The sequence below is a fragment of the Homo sapiens genome, chromosome X (genome assembly GCF_000001405.40).
Source record: "Homo sapiens chromosome X, GRCh38.p14 Primary Assembly".
NCBI lineage: Eukaryota > Metazoa > Chordata > Mammalia > Primates > Hominidae > Homo > Homo sapiens.
In genome coordinates this window covers 106,940,453-106,959,105 of record NC_000023.11, presented here as the reverse complement: position 1 = coordinate 106,959,105, position 18,653 = coordinate 106,940,453, and the positions used below count along the sequence as shown (strand labels likewise).

At 38.6% G+C, this 18,653-nt stretch overlaps 1 protein-coding gene across 2 annotated transcripts in view, besides 1 other annotated feature; it reads left to right on the top strand.

The window, feature by feature from the left end:
• MORC4 (MORC family CW-type zinc finger 4) overlaps window positions 1–18,368 on the top strand; it is a 59,475-nt gene extending 41,107 nt beyond the window's left edge. Inside the window, exons 11-17 of one of the 2 annotated variants that reach the window (NM_001085354.3) lie at window positions 642–770; window positions 2,102–2,170; window positions 2,572–2,626; window positions 4,018–4,193; window positions 15,901–16,591; window positions 16,885–17,130; window positions 17,474–18,368. In NM_001085354.3, coding sequence (NP_001078823.1) covers window positions 642–770; window positions 2,102–2,170; window positions 2,572–2,626; window positions 4,018–4,193; window positions 15,901–16,591; window positions 16,885–17,130; window positions 17,474–17,554 — 1,447 coding nt within the window. In that variant the 3' untranslated portion in view covers window positions 17,555–18,368. Of the gene's footprint in view, window positions 1–641; window positions 771–2,101; window positions 2,171–2,571; window positions 2,627–4,017; window positions 4,194–15,900; window positions 16,592–16,884; window positions 17,169–17,473 lie in introns of both variants that reach the window. The other variant, NM_024657.5, reaches the window with a different exon arrangement.
• Window positions 3,793–4,087: an enhancer, noted in NCBI's record as "tiled region #10711; HepG2 Activating DNase matched - State 6:EnhF". NCBI's record gives its function as "activates a minimal TATA promoter and a strong SV40 promoter by Sharpr-MPRA in HepG2 cells {active_cell/tissue: HepG2}" and the evidence as "EXISTENCE:reporter gene assay evidence [ECO:0000049][PMID:27701403]".

Sequence of the window (18,653 nt, the reverse complement as noted above, 5' to 3'; positions counted from 1 at the left end):
TATTACTTTTTAAGATTAACTTTGGGAATATCAACCTAGTAAAATTTTGATTGAAGTATTATAAGCAAAGGGTTTTTCTTGAGAGGGAAATGAAAAGGAATAAGGAGTCTCTGTAGGGAAATGAGGGAGATGTTTTAATGGCAATGCTTCCATGGCTGTCATAAATGGATTTTAAGCCTGTTACATGATTGGACAGAAGGAAACAAAATGATTCTATGGGTTTTATTTCTTGGTAATATAGTAATAAACAGAATTTTTCCAAGTTAATAAATTTTAGAGTTAAAATTACCCTATTGTTTGCTTGGAACAAGAGCCACCAGGATAAGTATTATTTAAAAAATGTTTCAATAGCTTTTGGGGTACAAGTGGTTTTTGGTTACAAGATAAATATTATTGACCTCTATAAAAGTAGCTCACCATGTTAATACTTGTTACTATTTTTCATATCCATATTTGCTATAGTTCTATCATTTTATCTGTGAAGTTAAAAATATATACATTTGGGCACCAAGATGATAACATTCCCAACATATTTCATATATGAAATTAGGTTCTTTCTTTTTTTGGCTGCACCTTTCTAATGTAAGACAAAGCACAGAGCTAAGATATACACAGTCACACTTCCATTTTCCTTCATTCAGGAAGGTTCCTGACCAGACATGGGTTCAGTGTGATGAGTGTCTTAAATGGAGAAAGCTTCCTGGGAAGATTGATCCATCCATGTTACCTGCAAGATGGTTTTGTTATTATAATTCCCATCCAAAGTACAGGTAAGGTTCCAGGACTCAATCTTATGCTCAAGGTAACTCCTGATTTATCTCTATAGTCTAAAACATTTTTCATCTCAGGTTCACACCCTTCAGCCTGGCATTCAAGGCCCTGTGCTGACTGACCCCAGCTTACCTATCTAGCCTTACATTTCGTGGTATCTTAACACAAACTTTGTACTTGAGCCAGGGCTGTGGCTTCACTATTCCCTACACATGCCATGCTTACTCTCATGTCCATGACTTTGATAGTGTCATTCCTCTTGCTTGCAATGACTTTCTGCATTCCATTTGTCTATCCTAATCACATCCATCTGGGCAGCAAGTGTTTTGTGTGATGCTTTTCCTGTTGACCATAGTTTACAGTGATTTTACTCTGATTTCCTCTGGTATTTGATTCTTGACATTTGTTCACATATTGTTTTGTACTTTTTGGATGTTTTTCACATATGTATCTTTGAAGAGCTTTGGCTCTTCAAGAGATCGTAAACTCTTCGAGACAAAGGACTTTACATTCCAGGTCAAGTCGATGATGTTCTTTATATGCTTCGTATTTGGAATCAGTGTTATACAGTAGTACCTGTACCTATTGTATATTCAGCGCTGTTTGTGTGTTTGTCTTCCTAATATACCATATGTTTCTTGCAGCATCCAACATCTAAATAGTGTCTGGCATATCTTTAGGCATTAACTTTAAAAGTTTTTAAAAATTTGACTCAGTAGTCATATAGGTTCATAATAATAAGTCAGTGTGCTTCAATTCAGCTGTGACTTTCTTAAAATTCTTCTGGCAGGATAAATACTGATAGAAAGGTGCTAAAATGGGTATGCATTTTAGGGGAAAAATGTCTAAAATTGAAGAAGTTAAATGAACAAAGATTAGGTCTATAAATATAAGCATTTCCTCATAGTCTCTAGATATGCCCAAGTATCTTTCCATGGAGAGTAAATGAGATTGTGTAATTAGAATATGGAACTGAGTACTTAGAAGTCTCGTTTTTGAATACTTTATCTTTTAGTACAGGAGACATAACCTTGCAGCCCACTTTGCCCCTTTATAAACTGAGTATAATATAGCTGCCAATTATTGTTAAATTTTGTTTGTTTCTAGGATTACTTTTGACCACTGAATGTATTTTCTAGTACTCCTTTCAGTTTTTACTCCTAAAATTCTCTTTCTCATGCTTTACATATAACAAGGTTTTATAATTTGAATGGGATCTGAACTCTGTAATGTTAGAGAGTTGTTAACCTGCATAGTTATAAGGAAATTAAAAGGTAAAAGTGAAGGACCCAGTTTTTTTCCAAAGGATGATTTATTCTCTGTACTGCAGGAGATGCTCTGTTCCAGAGGAACAAGAACTCACTGATGAAGACCTGTGCTTGAGCAAAGCTAAGAAACAGTTGAGTATACATGAGATGGGGTTCTCTACCATAGGGTAGAGTAGCCTGACACTTCCTTACAGGACGGGAGTTTTGAGAAGAGAGAATTTTTTTGGTTCTTAAATAATTTCCCTCCTCACCTCTCTGCTCTCCCAGTTCTTTATTCCTTCTAATCATCTCCTGAATGTCTCAACTAGTGATTGTCTTTAGTCTTTCTCTCTCCTCTCTCTCTCTCTCTCTGGTGGGGCACTTGAAATCTCACTTCAGTAGCCTAGTTCAGAAAGGCACCCTCAGTTACTCAATGAGGCTCACAGTATTTGTAATTTGGAAGGAACATTATAACCTAAATCTACAATTGGCAGTCCATTTCAAACTGAGAAGTTTCATGAGTGAACTAAATAGCACTTTTATCTTCTCCTAGAGAACAAACTGTTGAGGAGAAGAAGAAGATGCCTATGGAAAATGAGAACCACCAGGTGAGAGGCAGTGCACACCCTTATTGTTCTCACACAACATTTTCCCCAACAGAAAATATAAGTTGAAGGAAGCAGCAATCTTGAAAGCTGCATAGAAATAACAAACCATTTCTTCTGGTGGTCTTCTTTTCATTGAATCTTTTGGTTTTGCTTTGCTCTGCTGTCACTGATGTTTAGATCACCAAAAGTAGAAGAGTCGAATCGTTTATCTTCCAGATTTGGATTCAGTACTGACTCTGGACAGTATGAATATCACATTCAATGTCACAGAATATTCAGGGTTGTGTTTCATCCTCATACAGGCTTCTCCTGTTAAGTGTCTGCTTTTCCTGTCTCTTTTCTTCTAGGATTCAGGGGTGATCCCTTCCTCCTTCCTCTTGGGAAGAAGGGGTGGTTGTTTGTACTCCTCCCCTATCCCTGCTTTCAGGCTGGCTGGCTTTATAAAAATTCTGCTGTTTTGAATTTTCAGGAGCACTGTCTCTCGGACATGGTTGCCCAGCTCCGGACGCTGAAGGGTGCAGTAAGGTTGGCCGTCCTTTCAGGGACACTCCTTTCCTGACAGCCACCATAGCACCCGTATATCTTTCCCTCCCAACCTTGCCTTTCTGCATGATTTCCCTCTTGACCCTCTTTCCAAGAGAGATCTGCTAGTCGCATGTTAGATTCACCTTCCACTCACTCAATCAGGGTAGGTCAGACTGGTGAGGATAGAGGCAATTTAATACTAATTCTTCTTCTGATATCCTGCCAAGACCCAGGCATATGAATAATCAGGTTTCATACCCTAATGCCTTGGTTTAATTGTCTGATGTAGAGATTGGTAGATTTCCTAGGACTGCCCTGTTCTCATTCAGTTTACCTCCCCTATATTTTCCCTCACCTTAATCATTCATACTATCTTCATGAGCTGGCTCTCCCACAAGATCCAGATGCATGTCTGTGTGTGTGTGTGTGTGTGTGTACTATGAATATATGTTAGTCTGTCGCATGTATTTCTCCCAAACTGGCACAGACACTTGCTGCAGTGCATTTTCCCACCACCCTACCCTCATCATACATCTCAGGGGAGTGAAAACTCAGCCTTAAACTGGGTCACAAGAGAGAATTAGACAGTGATTAGGGGGCCTGGGTTTATATTGGGGGTGGGATAATTCTAGGAGCCACTAAGTAAGTTGGGGGAGGTCTGTTTGGTGTCCTGCTGATAAGGTTGATAACTGAGTATGCCTGGGTTCAGTGTTCTAGTGTACATTACTGCACACTGTTTGTTTTGTGTAGGAAACAGTTTCTTTTTATTTGGCCAAGCATTCTTTCCTAGCATCAGAAGGATTGACTCATCCTTTGGCATTTGGTTTGAATTTGAGACTTTTACAAATCATTTCTGTCTTTTATAGGTATTCAGTAATCCACCAAAGATCCTTACTGTTCAAGAAATGGCTGGATTGAATAACAAGACAATTGGATATGAGGGAATTCATAGCCCTAGTGTGCTTCCTTCTGGTGGAGAAGAAAGCAGATCACCATCTCTTCAACTTAAGCCTCTGGATTCCAGTGTTTTACAGTTTTCCAGGTGACTAAAAAGCATGATCTCTTGTCAATAGTAAGCTTTAGAGTCTGTTTTCCTGTAGAGTAAGTTGGTATGTTTTACCTTGTTTCTGTTTTTTCTAAGGCCTAGCATGGAATTCAGAAGTAGAAACACAATTTTAAGTTGATAGAATTGTGTGTTGCATGTACCTCCAATTTTTCAGTATTATAACTGCTGTATCAGGTCTATAATTTTGAGGTGATCATTTGCTGATACTCTTTTTATGTATCATGTATTCACATTATATTGGGAATTGTGCAAGTGAAATAATAGACAAAATTTGAAAAGTGTAAAATACTACACAAATAAGGTAATGTTATAATGATAAGCATTGTTCCTTTTCTTCAGTATATGGATATTGAAGTTCTCTTGGGCCTCATAGGCCTAGCACATGTTGACCACATGTAAAAATAACTATTAGATATTTGTGCCATTAGGTAAGCTTTATCATTTGTTGTTTCCTAGAATAAATTATTAGTATAAGTTTAGCATTGGACTTTACTTGTTCACCTTCTAGCACCTCATCAGTGTTATTTTGTGTCTTCATAACAAGAAGAAGCATAACTGTTCTTTTTCTTAGATATCAGGAGTATTTGAAGCACTGAAGGATATGACTGCCCCTTTACTCCCATGGGACTGAACTCAGTACTCCTAATTATGACTCCTTGCTTTCTCTTCTCTATTCTGCTTCTCACTCTTGCAGGGCCAAGCCATATAGGGCAGGGACAAGGTTGCTCTCTAATAGTAGAAATGTCTATGTTCATCAGTAATCTGACTATTATGTTTCGCTCTTGTTGCCCAGGCTGGAGTCCAATGGCGTGATCTTGGCTCACTGCAACCTCCCCGTCCCGGGTTCAAGCGATTCTCTTGCCTCAGCCTCTGGAGTAGCTAGGATTACAGGCATGCACCACCACACCTGGCTAATTTTGTATTTTTAGTAGAGACGGAGTTTCTCCATGTTGGTCAGGCTGGTCTCGAACTCCCGACCTCAGGTGATTCACCCGCCTTGGCCTCCCAAAGTGCCAGGATTACAGGCATGAGCCACCACACCCAGCCGGGAAGTGAACTTTTTAGTGACTATTTTCACTTTGGATATCTCCTTAACATACTGTAGAATAGTCAGTGGAATACATAATAGGATAAAGTGACTCCTGGTTGGTTGGTTTGTTTTTCTCTGTGTTTCTGAGTTCAAGACCAGCCTGGACAACACAGCGAAATCTCATCTCTTAAAAAAAAAACAAAAAACCAATAGAACGGTGCCTTGGAATATAGTAGGTACTCAATAAGTAATGGTTGAATCTGAGTCATATTTAAGAAGCAATTTCTAAGATTGAATTTTGTAGCAACGGGATAAGAAATAGAATCCAGCCTTAGTCTCAGGAGCTTGAGCCTAATTACACCGTTTCCATGCATACTTTTCCAACTCCCATTTTAGGTTGGGAGGGGTGCACTGTAAATGCTAAGTGTTTTTGAAGCACATTGTTACCTTTTTACCCTGGTCTCCTGGAGATGCTCATATATCACCATTGCTGCTGGAGTGTCAGGTGTCTTTGCTTTTGAAGACTGTCCCTTCCTTACTATGACCACTTTTCCTTTTTTTCCAGTGTTTCTTTTATAACCCTGTAGTGGTTTTTGGTAACCTCAAGGGGATTACAAATGCTAATTTATATACTTATTTTATGAATGCAGTACAATAGAACTTCCATTGGGTGGCATACTTCATCAGTCTCTATTGGAATTTTTGTATGAGTCTTTATGGATTGCTATATCGAGAGTGAGGTTTTGGCTGTAGAGGACAGGTAAAGTACATTGACCATTCATATGTAATTTTAATTTATTGAGAATAAAATTATTTCAAGAGAAAGAGAAACATAAGAGGTATGTGATAGTTGCTGTTGCTAATGTCATATATGTTACATAAGATCAGTAAATGATGATTGTGTCATTTCAAGTTACACTTTTCGAGGGAATCACATTGATTGGGCTGAGACTACCTTTTAATGGGGGAAAATGGAGTTACTCAAGAGTCTAGTAAAATATATAGGATTTCTGATAAAACATTAAGGTTTAATCAAGAGTTACAAAGGTCTTCTGTTATTATCAGCATAGGAAGCTGATAAGGGTCCTTGGGTCATGTAGTTCAGCTTACTAACTCCAGATAAAATAAAGCCTACAGTATCCAAGAAAACTTTTAAGTTCTAGTGGGTAGTTTAGCAGGGGCGCCACAGGTGTCACTGGAAACAGCTTTGTGAGTCCCACAAATCTAGCAAGGGGAGGAGAGGACCTGCAATAAAGAATAGGTTCCACCAGTATGTAAGCAGGTATAACCTTTTTGGGGAAGACAGCTTATTTCTGTTAAAGGAAATAATCCCTTTCTATTTGTTCATCCTACATGTATAATCGTGCCGCATAATGACATCTTGGTCAATAACAGAACACATACACAACAGTTATCCCATAAACTTACAATACTGTATTTTTACTGTACCTTTTGTATATTTAGATATATTTGATATGCAAATACTTACCATTTTGTTACAGTTGCCTATAGTATTCACTACAGTCACATGCTGTACAGGTTTATAGCCTAGGAGCAATAGGCTATTGCCTAGGTGTATAGTAGGCTATACCATCTGGGTTTGTGTAAGGATACTCTATGATGTTTGCACGATGAGGAAATTGTCTAACAATGGATTTCTCAGAGCGTATGCCCATCATTAAGTAATGCACGACTGTATTTGAGTGCCTACTTTATGAAAGGCCCTGTTCTAGGGTAGTGACAAGATCAAAGATGAAGGAGGTTTGAGTAGTCAAAATTTGATATGTAAGTATCCCCAATATTTACATATAAAGTGCATATAGTTTTCTTTCCTTTTTTTTTTTTTTTTTTTTTTTTTTTTTTGCGGCAGAGTCTCGCTCTGTCACCCAGGCTGGAGTGCAGTGGCGCAATCTCGGCTCACTGCAACCTCCACCTCCCGAGTTCAAGCGATTATCCTGCCTCAGCCTCCTGAGTAGCTGGGATTACAGGCGCGTGCCACCACGCCCGGCTAATTTTTGTATTTTTAGTAGAGACAGGGTTTCACCATGTTGGTCAGGCTGGTTTCAAACTCCTGACCTCGTGATCCACCCGCCTTGGCCTCCCAAAGTGCTGGGATTACAGGTGTGAGCCACTGCGCCTGGCTAAATATGTATAGTTCTCTTATGAGTGATACAAAATAAGATTTAAAGTGGCCGGGTGCAGTACCTCACGCCTCTTATACCAGCACTTGGGAGGCTGAGACAGGAGGGTTGCTTGAGCCCAGGAGTTCGAGACTAGCCTGGGCAACACAGTGAGACCTCTTCTCTACAAATAATAAAAAATTAGCCAGGTGTGGTGACGTGCGCCTGTGGTCCCAGCTACTCTGGAGGCTGAGGTGGGAGGATCGCTTGAGCATAGGCTGCAGTGAGCCAGCTGTGATTGCGCAACTGTGCTCTAGTCTGGGCAACAGAGCAAGACCCTGTCTCAAAAAAAAAGAAAGATCTAAAGTAACCGTAAGCATTTGAATGAAGGCAAGAATTAGTGGCTGTAATTTATTTAGATATTTAGATTTGAGTAAGCTATATGTCAAAGGCTAATTAGTTCATATTTTTAAAGGTTAACAAATTCTGAATTGCACTGTTAACAGTGGAGGGAGAGAAGTAGAGACATTCTACTGTGTCTAAAGGAATACTTGAAATAACAAACAAGGGGTAGAAATAGATGAACAATTTTGCAAATGAATAAGATTGATTCAGGGGCCAGTATTAACATTTAAAAATATGATCTAGGGAAGCAACTTCCAGAATGGAGAAATGAGGAGCATAGTGGACTCTGTCACCAATAAATAACTGTTTAACTTGAAAAAATATATTTAAAAAAAATCAGTGTTTCTGGATAGTGTCCTAGGGGCACACAGCAAAGGGAGAAATATTCAAGAAATCTTCTAAATCTCAGGAAGAACAGCAAGAGTCAGTGGCATTTGAACCACAAGCTGTCCCACTCCAAGCTCTATTTTATGAAAACTACTCAAAGGAATTCTAATCCATGTGGGTGTGGTCTAGAAGATGGGGGCTCCCTCATCCCCTAGCTCATTGTCTAGAGCTATGGTTTTACCTGGGAGGAGCAGGCCTCTGGCTTTTCTCATCTCCTCTCCAGTTCTGTTTTGTAGAAGCTCTATTCCAGGCAGATCCACGAAGACTGGGTCTCTCTTCTCCCAGCCTTCTCTTCCCCAACAAAGCCCTCACTTATAGGGTGGGAGCACTCACAAAGGAACAGCAAGTTAGTAATACCATGCCCCTATTGTTCCTACCCGAGCTTGCTCATAGGTCAGAAGTCTATGCTGGAAGAAGTAAGCCAAAAATTACCCCAGTACCCATTCATAAAGAAGGGATTTTACTCTGGGAGAAGTATGTTACTGTTGTTGTCTCTAGTTCTTGCACACTGTGCCAGAGATTCTGCTTAAAGAGAGAGGCAGGCCTTAAGGATGAGGAATGCCACAGCTCTACCTAAAGGAATTGACTTTATGTGGAGCAGAACATGAAGAATTCTGTGACTAAGGGGCATTGTCAAAAATAATGGAGATCTTGGTGGAGAACAATTATGAGGGCAATTATAACTCCATGACAAGTTTCAGCAAGCAAAATGTGCAAGCGATCATAAGTTTGGTAACAGAGAGAATCAGGGAAATACAGTCAAGAGCCCTCTTCGGATCATAGTCTTGGGTGTCAGAAAGGCTGTGTATAAGCACAGGGCTACACCCACTCAGAAGCAATCAGAGCAGGACCTAAGGTGGACTTGAAAGCCGTCCTCAAGCTGAACACAGATGAAACAGTAAAGAAGAGGAGCCTCACTGGCACTAGGGGTTTAAGCACAACCTCTAACCAACCACTGGCTGAACGATGTTACTCTGACCCAGGGGCACCTCCTGGGAACCAGGCTTAAAAATGAAATCACATACATCCTTGGCAATCTAGGAGACTGTGTACATGTTCAATGCTATGCTACCTCCAGGGTGATTGAAGAGGGAAAATCTAAGCTATTAGTACCTGGCTGAATGTGGGACAGAAGCATACTCTTGAACTTTGGTAGTAACCTCCAAGTCTCGCACACACTCAATGGAAAAGGGTAAAAATCTAACCAGCTGAAGGGACTTAAGCACAACCTTTAACTAATAAGTGGCCTGTGCCAAACCAGGTATGAACTAGGTTGCCAGGTGAAAGATTAAAATCAAGAAAAAAAATCTGAACAAGTACATCAGAGGCTGCATAATACAGGGGAAATGGACTGCATAGAGTCAGTTCAGCGAAGTCACTAAATAAACAACCAAGCAAACAACAACATCAGTGTCATAGGGAAGGGGAGATCAGTGTCCAGAATTGCTATATTATCTAAAATGTCCAGTTGTCAACAAAAATTATGAAACATGAAGAGAAACAGGGAAGTGTGACCTCTACATGGGAGCAGAGGGTGGGGAGGAACAGCAATAGAAACTGCTCTTGAAGAGATTCAGATATTGGATTTATCAGACAAATACTTCAATGCAGCTGTTGTAAACACATTCAAAGAACTAAAGGAGACCATGTCTAAAGAATTAAAGTAGAGAATATTAATAATGGACAGAACCTATAAAAAGAATCAAATGGAAATTCTGAAGGTGCAAGGTATAATAACTGATATGAAAAAAATTTTAAAGGGACTCAACAGCACATTAGAGTTGGAAGAATAAAGAATAAAAAAACTTGAAGATAGATAAGTTATAGATTATGCAATTTGAAGAACAGTGGAAAAGAAAAATGAACAGAGCTTCAGAGAAATGTGGAACGCCATGAAATGCACCAACATATGCATAATAGAAGAATAGAGAGAAAATGAAGTAGAAAAAATATTTCAAGAAATCATGGCTAAAAACTTCCCAAAAGTTGATGAAAAACATTAATGTATACATCTAGGAAGCTCAGCAAACTCAAAATAGGATAAATACGGAGATTCATTGCCAGACACATCATAGTGCAAATATTGAAAGCCAAAAGCAAAGAGAAAATGATTCATCATGTACAAGAGAATCCCAAGAAAATTAAAGTTGATGACTTCTCATGAGAAAAAAATGGGAACAAGAAGGCAGCGTGATGACGTATTCAAAGGACTGAATGAAAGACTGACAACCAAGTATCTTAAATACAATAAAATTACCTTTAGGAAATAAAGGTGAACTAAATACATTGCCAGATAAATAAAAGCTGAAGGAATTTGTTGCCAGCAGACCTGCCTTACAAGAAATACTAGAGAGATTTTTTTAGGATGAAAGCAAGCAATATCAGACAGTAATCTGAATTCACATGAAAAAGCAAAGAGTGCTTATAAAAGTAACTGTGTAGTTAATTAAAGAGCACAAAACAATAGAATATTTCTTCCTCTTTCTATTCTTAACCAATTTAAATAACATAAAGCAATATGTATTTGTATATAATTGCATATATATATATTGATTTATCGTTGTGCTTATAACATATACAAATGTAAAATATTTGACAAAAAATAGCACAAAGGAGGTGGATGGGAATAAAGTTACATTGGAGTAAGGAAATGACGCCAGATAGTAACTCAGATCTACAGTCTGAAATGACAATTAAAAAATGGAAAATAAAAAGGTTAATGAAACAAACTCTGTAAATATGTGCTTGCTCTGCTTTCTTCTCTTGGCTTCCTTGGAAGATGTAACATTGCATAAAGTAATAATTATAACAATGTATTATTAGATTCGTGAATGTTATACTAGAAAATACATGATATAAAAAGAGGAAAAATAAAGATGGGTCAAAGGAACAAAGAAGGCGTGACACTTGTAGAAAATTAAAAAACTAAATAGCAGATGTAAATTTTATCTTATCAGTAACAGAAAATGTGACTGGATTAAGCAATCCAATCAAAAGACAGATATCAGATTTTATATATATCTAGTTGTTGTATCCATTATTGAAAGTAGGGCATTGAAGTCTCCAACTATTATTGTTGAATTGTCTGTTTCTCTCTACAGTTCTGTCTGTTTTTGCTTTGTGTATTTCTGGGGCTCTGTAGTTAGGTCCATATGTGAGTGTACTTATTACATCTTCCTGATGGACTTTATCATTATGAAAGGTCCCTCTTTATATCCAGTAACATTTTTTATTTAAAAGTCTATCTTGTCTGATATTAGTATAACCATGTTTGCATGTTGAATCTTTTTCAATCCTTTTACTTCCAACCTATCTGTATCTTTGCATCTAAAGTGTGTTTTATATATATATATATTATATATATATATATATATAATATATATATATAGATTAACTACAGGTATATATATATATACCTAACTACAGAGCCCCAGAAATACACAAAGCAAAAACAGACAGAATTGTAGAGAGAAATAGACAATTCAACAATAATAGTTGGAGACTTCAATGCCCTACTTTCAATAACGGATACAACAACTAGGAAGATCAACAAGGAACTAGAAGACTTGAAGAACATTCTGAACCAACCAGACCTGACATACATACAGAAAACTTCACCCAGCAACAACATAGTATGTATTCTTCTCAAATGCACGTGAAATATTCTCCAGGATAGACAGACTGTATGTTAGGTTGTAAAACAAACCTCAGTGAATTTAAAAATATTGACAATCATACAAAGGATGTTCTCCAATCGCAATATAATTAAATTAGAAATCAACAACCTAAGGAAATTTGGAAAATGCACAAATATATGGAAATTAAATGACACGTCTTAATTTCCAAAATAAATGGGTAGAAGAAAAAAAATCACATTGGAAATGTAAAAATATATTGAAAATATGAAAATTAAAACAAAACATATGGAAACTATGGGTTGAAGCTAAAGAAATACTCAGAGGGAAAATTATATTTTTAGATGCTTATATTAAAATTGAAGAAAGAAGCTGGGCATGGTGGCTCATACCTGTAATCCCAGCACTTTGGGAGGCTGAGACGGGAGGATCATTTGAGCCCAGCAGTTCAAGACCAGCCTGGGCAACATAGGAAGACCCTGTCTCTACAGAAAATACAAAAATTAGCTGGGCGTGTATGCCTGTAGTTCCAGCTACTTGGAAGGCTGAGGTGGGAGGATCACTTGCTGGTATAAATGCAAAATGTTACAGCTGCTTTGGAAAACATTCCAATAGTTTCACAAAATGTTAAACAGAATGCCATATGACTCAGTAATGCCACACCTAAGTTTATACCCAAGAAAACGGAAAACGTATCTATATAAAAACTTGTATGCTAATGTTCATAGCAGCATCATTTATGGTAGCCAAAAAGTGGATGCAATTTAAATAACTATCAACTGATGAATGGATATAAAATGTGGCCTATTCATACAATGGACTATTATTTAGCTATGAAAAGGAATGAAATACTGATTATGTGCTACAACATGGATGAAACTTGAAAACATTGTGTTAAATGAAAGAAGCAAGTTAAAAATCATATGTTTTATTCCATTTAGGTGAAAGAAGCGAGTTTAAAAAAGCCATATGTTTTATTATTCCATTTATATTAAATGCCTAGAATAGGCAAATCTACAGAGACAGAAAGTAGAGTAGTGTCCCAGTGGGGGTATGGGGAGTAACTGCTGATGTGTAGGAGGTTTCTTGCGGGGTGGTGCATATTTTCACAACTTAGATTGTGGTGATGGTTACACAACTCTGTGAGAATACTAAAATTGTTGAATTGTATACCTTAAGTGAATTTATAGATTTCTATCCCAGTAAAGATGTTGAAAAATACATCATCTGGAAGGAGTATATATACACTATTACAGGGCCGTGATTTTTGGTCCTTATTCTTGCCTATCATAGTTCCTTAAACATAGTAGGAAACATTTATGAAATGAGTGAGTAAAAAATGAAATATATTAATTTGAATGTATCATTCTCTGTCTTGGTTAGTGAAATAATACAAAACTGATAGTGGTTAATTACAGAAGCCTCTGAGAAAGCATTTTGAAGGAGCAGAAACATGGTGTATGTCAGAAAATGTAAAATACTTAAAGGAGAAAACCAAAAATACACCATGAATTGACAGACAATGGAGGAATATGACAAAGGGCAGAAAGAAAATAAGAGGAAACTGTGTAGTTGGAGAATTTCTAGTATATAAAACCCATAATTAATCTCTACTCAATGAGTGAATACAAGTCTGGTATGAGAATTGATTCCTAAAAGGACTTGCCAGACTTTCTGGAGAAGTATAGAACCAATAAGTAAAATCTAGTTATTTTCCCTCATTCACATAATAGTTCTTTTTTTGGTTGCCTCTTATGTGAAAGTTTTGTTCCCTCCTCCCCATCTAGCATGGTTAATTAAGCTCCCTTCTGTGTAGGAACTTATACTTTTATGCTTTTGTAAGGTACCTAGGACACACACACACACACACACACACACACACACACACACACACACAAAGTAGTAAGTGATGCATTTTAATAAGAGTGCTTGAAGTGCTATAGGAATTCAGAAGTAGCATTTGAGTTGGATTTATGCATGCAGTGTTGGGTAGAAGAAGGGCACTCCAGTCAAAAGGCATCCAGTTTGACTGATGTTTGTGAAGGGAGTAATGAGAGATAAAGCTGGGGCCAAATTCTGTCCCAGCTCTGATACTTACTAGCCACCTTGAGAAAGTTAACTTCTTCCTGAGCATCCCCTTAAAACAGTGGAGATAATAATCCCACCTGCCTCATGTTTATTGGGAGAATTAGATGAGGCAATACATGTTAAGCACTTCTTACATGATCTGGTACAGAGTAAGTGCTCAGTAAATGTTTACTATGTTTTGGCATGGAAAAGCTTCAATAGTGAGCTAAGACATTTAAGCTTTTATGTTGTGGGGAGCAATAAATAAAGATTTTGAATAGAGGAGTAGCATAATCAAAGCAATGCTTTAGGAAGATTAGCTTGGGACAGTGATCTGGAGGTAAGAGAAGGGGAGACTGGAGACAGGAGGAAGCCATTGCAGTAGTCCAGGAAAGGTAGTGGGAGCTTGAACTTGAGTATTGATAATGTATAAACCTACCGTATAAATATTAGTGACAGTTTGGTGCTGTTGTAACACAAATAGGAAACATAGGGAAAAGGAGCAGGTTTGAAGGTGAAAATGAAAGGTTGGTTTTATACATACTGAGTTTGAGATACCAGTGGGACCTCCAGGAAGAAATGTGTGACAGGCAGTTGGAAATTCAATACTGGGGGTCAGGGTTTGGGAGAATATGGGAGTTGTTGCCCAGAGATTGTAGCCAAGAGGTTGTATAAGATTACAAAGGAGAAGAAATACAGGGTCAGAAGAGAAGATAGTTAAGGACAGAACCCTTAGAGGTGGGAAAACGAAGAGAAGGCAGATAATATGACTGTAATTGCTTTTCACAAGGCTTGGTTGTTGCTATTTAGTATTATATACTTTTCCTTTGTACCTGCCAACTGATTGTTTTACTGTCTTCTTCAGTACCACAGCTGACTGGGCCATCAGTAGTAGACCTTATACGTGTTCAAAGATGGATACAGTTATTCTTACATAGCTCCTAAGTCCTTTTGCTTTTACCTAAGGCTAACACGACAAGATCTATTAAGATGGCAGATCAGTTGTATTTCTGAAGAACATATGGGCACTATAAGAAACTACAGTTTGGTTTGTCTTACCGGTGTTCTCAAAAAATACAGAGAAATATGGGCAACCTTGAGGTACTATGAGGTGGCAAATCATATGTCTGATGCTTTCTCATTGAAAATTTGAAAGTTGATTTTATCTTGAAATGTCTTGGTTATCCAGAAGGAGGACAGAATAGTTGTAAGGATAAAAATGGGGTTCCCACCCTGCTGCATGATTAAAAATTGCCTATGGATTTCTCTGGTGCCAGTTGTTTCATTAGTTCTTCAACCCCTAGTGCATACAGCAGCCAAACATGGAAGATGATTTAAGGTCATCATCATGGGCTTTCCTGCACAACTCAGGGAGTGTCTGCTTGTGCTTGAGCACGGGAATTCTTTGTCACAAGGGGAAAATGACTTGAATTGGCTGATTCACTTTCTTTGTTTCTGACTAGGCCCCTGTGATTCAATTAACTTTTACAAGTGAACTATGGGCAATAGCCACAATCCAGTGGGCTGGTGAAAGAATTGTGTGGTTCTGCTGCAATATAAAAAAATGTGCATAAGTCTTTGATACGGGAAGGCATTTGTGATGCTGTAAAATTAATGAGTTGGCACTGTTCTCTGCATACTCTTCTAGGCTTTTTATGGCCTTTTTATTCCATTCTTGTGTTAGGGGATTTGGGGTATGTGTTTTTTCTTTGTCTTCCCTCTTGACTTGCATCTTTAGGATACTTCTAAGTCAGGCTGGTCGCAATCTTATTTTTAGAATTCTTACCAAGGTCAACCTAGTCCTATTATATCCAGATGCTGCCCAGTCACACCTTTCAACTTCACCTCTCCGTTAATACCAGTCGCACTAGTGAAATGGTTGAGGCTTGTGGGTAAAGTTGTATCCCTAACCTGGACTTGTCTGTGGGTAACATCTAGAGTCAGTCTGAATATGGGAAGTTTGAGTTGGGGCTCCATAGGATCAGAAAATACTTAACTTGTACTCTGACAGCTTACAATTTAATTTCCTCTTCTTGCAGTAAGTACAAATGGATCCTAGGTGAAGAACCGGTGGAGAAACGAAGAAGGCTCCAGAATGAGATGACAACACCTTCTCTAGATTATTCCATGCCTGCTCCTTACAGGAGGGTAGAAGCACCTGTTGCCTACCCAGAAGGGGAGAACAGCCATGATAAATCGAGTTCTGAGAGAAGTACACCACCATACCTTTTCCCAGAATACCCAGAAGCAAGCAAGAATACAGGTCAGAATAGGGAGGTTTCAATTCTGTATCCAGGGGCCAAAGACCAACGCCAGGGGTCCCTGCTTCCTGAAGAATTAGAAGATCAGATGCCAAGATTGGTGGCAGAAGAATCTAACAGAGGTAGCACAACCATAAACAAAGAAGAAGTCAACAAGGGACCTTTTGTAGCTGTTGTGGGTGTTGCCAAAGGTGTTAGAGATTCAGGAGCTCCCATTCAGCTGATCCCTTTTAACAGAGAGGAGCTTGCTGAGAGACGAAAAGCAGTTGAATCCTGGAACCCAGTGCCTTATTCTGTGGCCTCTGCTGCAATCCCTGCTGCAGCCATTGGGGAGAAAGCAAGAGGCTATGAGGAGAGCGAAGGTCATAATACACCAAAGTTGAAGAACCAGAGAGAGCTGGAAGAATTGAAGAGAACCACAGAAAAATTGGAACGTGTTTTGGCTGAAAGGAATTTGTTCCAGCAAAAGGTTAGGGTAATACCTCACCACTAGGAATAAGAGACCATAGTAACCAAGGGAGCGGGACATTGGTGCCCTGATTATTTAATGTTCTGAGGCCTTTAAATAAAATATGCCCCTGAACTATTCTGTGGTGTGTTTCAGATAGAGTAACTGTAGTAGGCTTCCTGCCCATTTTAGGGTATTGAAAAGGCCCATAAGTAGAGGAATATGTATAGTGGAATCACAGGATGACCATATGAGGAACGGTTTTTGGCGTGCTCTTTTGTGGGGTCATTGAATTTCTGTTTCTTGGACTGCAGGTGGAGGAGCTGGAACAGGAGAGGAATCACTGGCAGTCTGAATTCAAGAAAGTCCAACATGAATTGGTGATCTACAGTACCCAGGAGGCGGAAGGCTTGTACTGGAGCAAGAAACACATGGGTTATCGCCAAGCTGAATTCCAGATTCTGAAAGCTGAGCTGGAAAGAACCAAAGAGGAAAAGCAAGAGTTAAAAGAGAAACTGAAGGAAACAGAGACACACCTGGAAATGCTGCAGAAGGCTCAGGTCTCCTACCGGACCCCAGAGGGAGATGACCTAGAAAGGTTAATTACTAGGGTTTAGTTATCAGCTTGTGAGTGCTAATGGGAAGCATCCCTTAGGACCCCCACTTACTGGCCGTAGACAAAGGAGGAAGCCTTAATTCACAGGCCACCAAGAATTGAGTAATTACTTCTTAGAAAGCTGCAGCCAGTCTCCCTGTGCTTGGTGGCGTTGTGCTTTCTTCTTTCTAGCTAATGAAAACATAACTGTTGAGAAATGTGGTTCCATTTTGAAGGGGCTTCATTTTATTCTGTTGGTTAATGACTTCATGTCATCTCTTCTCCTGCCCCCTCACTCCTTCATACAGGGCTTTGGCAAAGCTTACGCGGCTACGTATCCACGTCAGCTATCTCCTTACTTCTGTCCTCCCTCACTTGGAGCTTCGTGAGATCGGGTATGACTCAGAACAAGTGGATGGGATCCTGTACACGGTGCTGGAGGCAAATCACATACTGGATTGAGCACCAGACTGTATACCCTTCTCTTCTCTTATCTTCTGTCTGTTCTCTTTTCTCTCCCTCCCTCACGTCTCTCTCTCTCTCTCTCTCTCTCTCTCTCTCTCTCTCTCACCCTCACCTTTATGCCTTATATAGAGAATCTCTGTGTAAATCCTGGCTCATAATCAGTCTCCTTTTTATCAGTTTTGGTGTGGAGAAAGAGGCCAGTTTAAATAGGCTTTCAAGAGTCTAGGGTCAGAAAAGCAATAGTCACTAAGCTAGGTGACCTGAAAGCTTTAATTTTCATGACCTGGATATGTGGTCTATTGTATATCTTTTTCTGAAATGGTTTGTATTCATTTAGGTTAGATCAATCAGCAGATATTGGGTCCGGTATACCAGGTATTATTTTGGGGTAAGCTAACAAGTACAACTCATGTTTGCAGCCTTCGAAGATGTAACAATCTCGTTGGAAACATAAGACATACATCACATTATACACAAAAGTGTATGATATGTACAACTGAGTGGTACAGATATGACATGGAAGATCTGGGGGAGGAAGTTCAAGGAAGGCACCACACCAGAAATGGGACCTAAATTAAGGCTTAAAGAATGAGCATGGCCACACTGTCAGTGAGTGTTCTTTAGGTGGTAGGACTATGGTTGATATTTTTCTTCTTCCTATCTTCCTGCCTTTTTCAGATTTTCAATATTAAACTTGTTATTCTTACATTGGAAAAAAATAAATTGTTTTTAAAAAGATCAAGTAGGCTTGGATTTGAATATCAAATGAGAGATTATGTGAAAATATAAGGTAATGTTATATTTCTAATTTATATTAAATTTAGCATTACCTCTGGAAGAAGAAAAGCATAAACAAAGGCATGGAAAAATTTGGAATGTGAAAAATGTGTTCGATAGAAGTGGTGGGTTAATATAAAGGGGACTAAGGTTATATCATGATCTGTTCGCCTGCTTTGGTATTCGCATTTTAATAAGGGATTCTTGAAAAACCTATAAGGCTCAAATTAAAAAATATATTTGTCA